The 1,091-nt window shown below is 46.6% G+C and overlaps 1 annotated feature.

Annotated features, from left to right (window-relative positions):
* Positions 381-670: an enhancer, noted in NCBI's record as "active region_22425". NCBI's record gives its function as "activates an Ori minimal core promoter by ATAC-STARR-seq in GM12878 lymphoblastoid cells {active_cell/tissue: GM12878}" and the evidence as "EXISTENCE:reporter gene assay evidence [ECO:0000049][PMID:35858748]".

Raw genomic sequence — 1,091 nt, forward strand, 5'->3', positions numbered from 1 at the left:
CTACAATTCAAGATAGATTTGGACGGGGACACAGCCAAACCATATCATGTAGCCAAAATGCAGCATTTTGTAGGGGCCAGCCCTACAGGGTCTGTGGGTTTTTCTCCTCGTGTGCAGAGACGGGAGATCATAGAAATAGACACAAGACAAAGATATAGAAGAAAAGACAGCTGGGCCCGGGGGACCACTACCACCAAGACGGGGAGACCGGTAGTAGCCCCGAATGCCTGGCTTCGCCGTTATTTATTAGATACAAGACAAAAGGGGCAGGGTAAGGAGTGTGAGTCATTTCCAATGATTGATAAGGTCACGTGAGTCATGTGTCCACGGGAGAGGGGGCCCTTCCCTGTTTGGCAGCCAAGGCGGAGAGGACAGCTTAGGCCATTATTCTATGCATTTCAAAGGCTTTTTTAGTACTTTCACTAATTCTGCTACTGCTTGAAGGCAGAACCAGATGTATAGGGTGGAACATGAAAGTGAAACAGGAGCGTGACCGCTGAAGCACAGCATCACAGTGAGACATTTAGGCCTCCCGATGGCTGTGGGCGGGCCTGACTGATGTCAGGCCTTCCACAGGAGGTGGTGGAGCAGAGTCTTCTCTAACTCCCCAGGAGAGAGGGAGACTCCCTTTCTTGGTCGGCTAAGTAACGGCTGCCTTCCCAGGCACTGGCGTTACCGCTAGACCAAGGAGCCCTCTAGTGGCCCTATCCAGGCATGACAGAGGGCTCACACTCATCTTCTGGTCACTTCTCACCATGCCCCTTCAGCTCCTATCTCTGTATGGCCTGGTTTTTCCTAGGTTATAATTGTAGAGCAAGGATTATTATAATATTGGAATAAAGAGTAATGCTACAAACTGATGATTAATAATATTCATATATAATCATATCTATATTTCTATTATAACTCTTCTTATTTTGTATATTTTCTTTATTATACTGGAACAGCTTGTGCCTTCAGTATCTTGCCTTGGCACCCGGGTGGCTTGCCGCCCACACATTTCAAGGTCGATGGTACACAGAATAGATGACATTTTAACAATGGTGATTTTTTTTTCAATATTCCTGTCTTGAATGATGTGTGTGCATGTG

The sequence above is a fragment of the Homo sapiens genome, chromosome 5 (genome assembly GCF_000001405.40).
Source record: "Homo sapiens chromosome 5, GRCh38.p14 Primary Assembly".
Taxonomy (NCBI): Eukaryota; Metazoa; Chordata; class Mammalia; order Primates; family Hominidae; genus Homo; species Homo sapiens.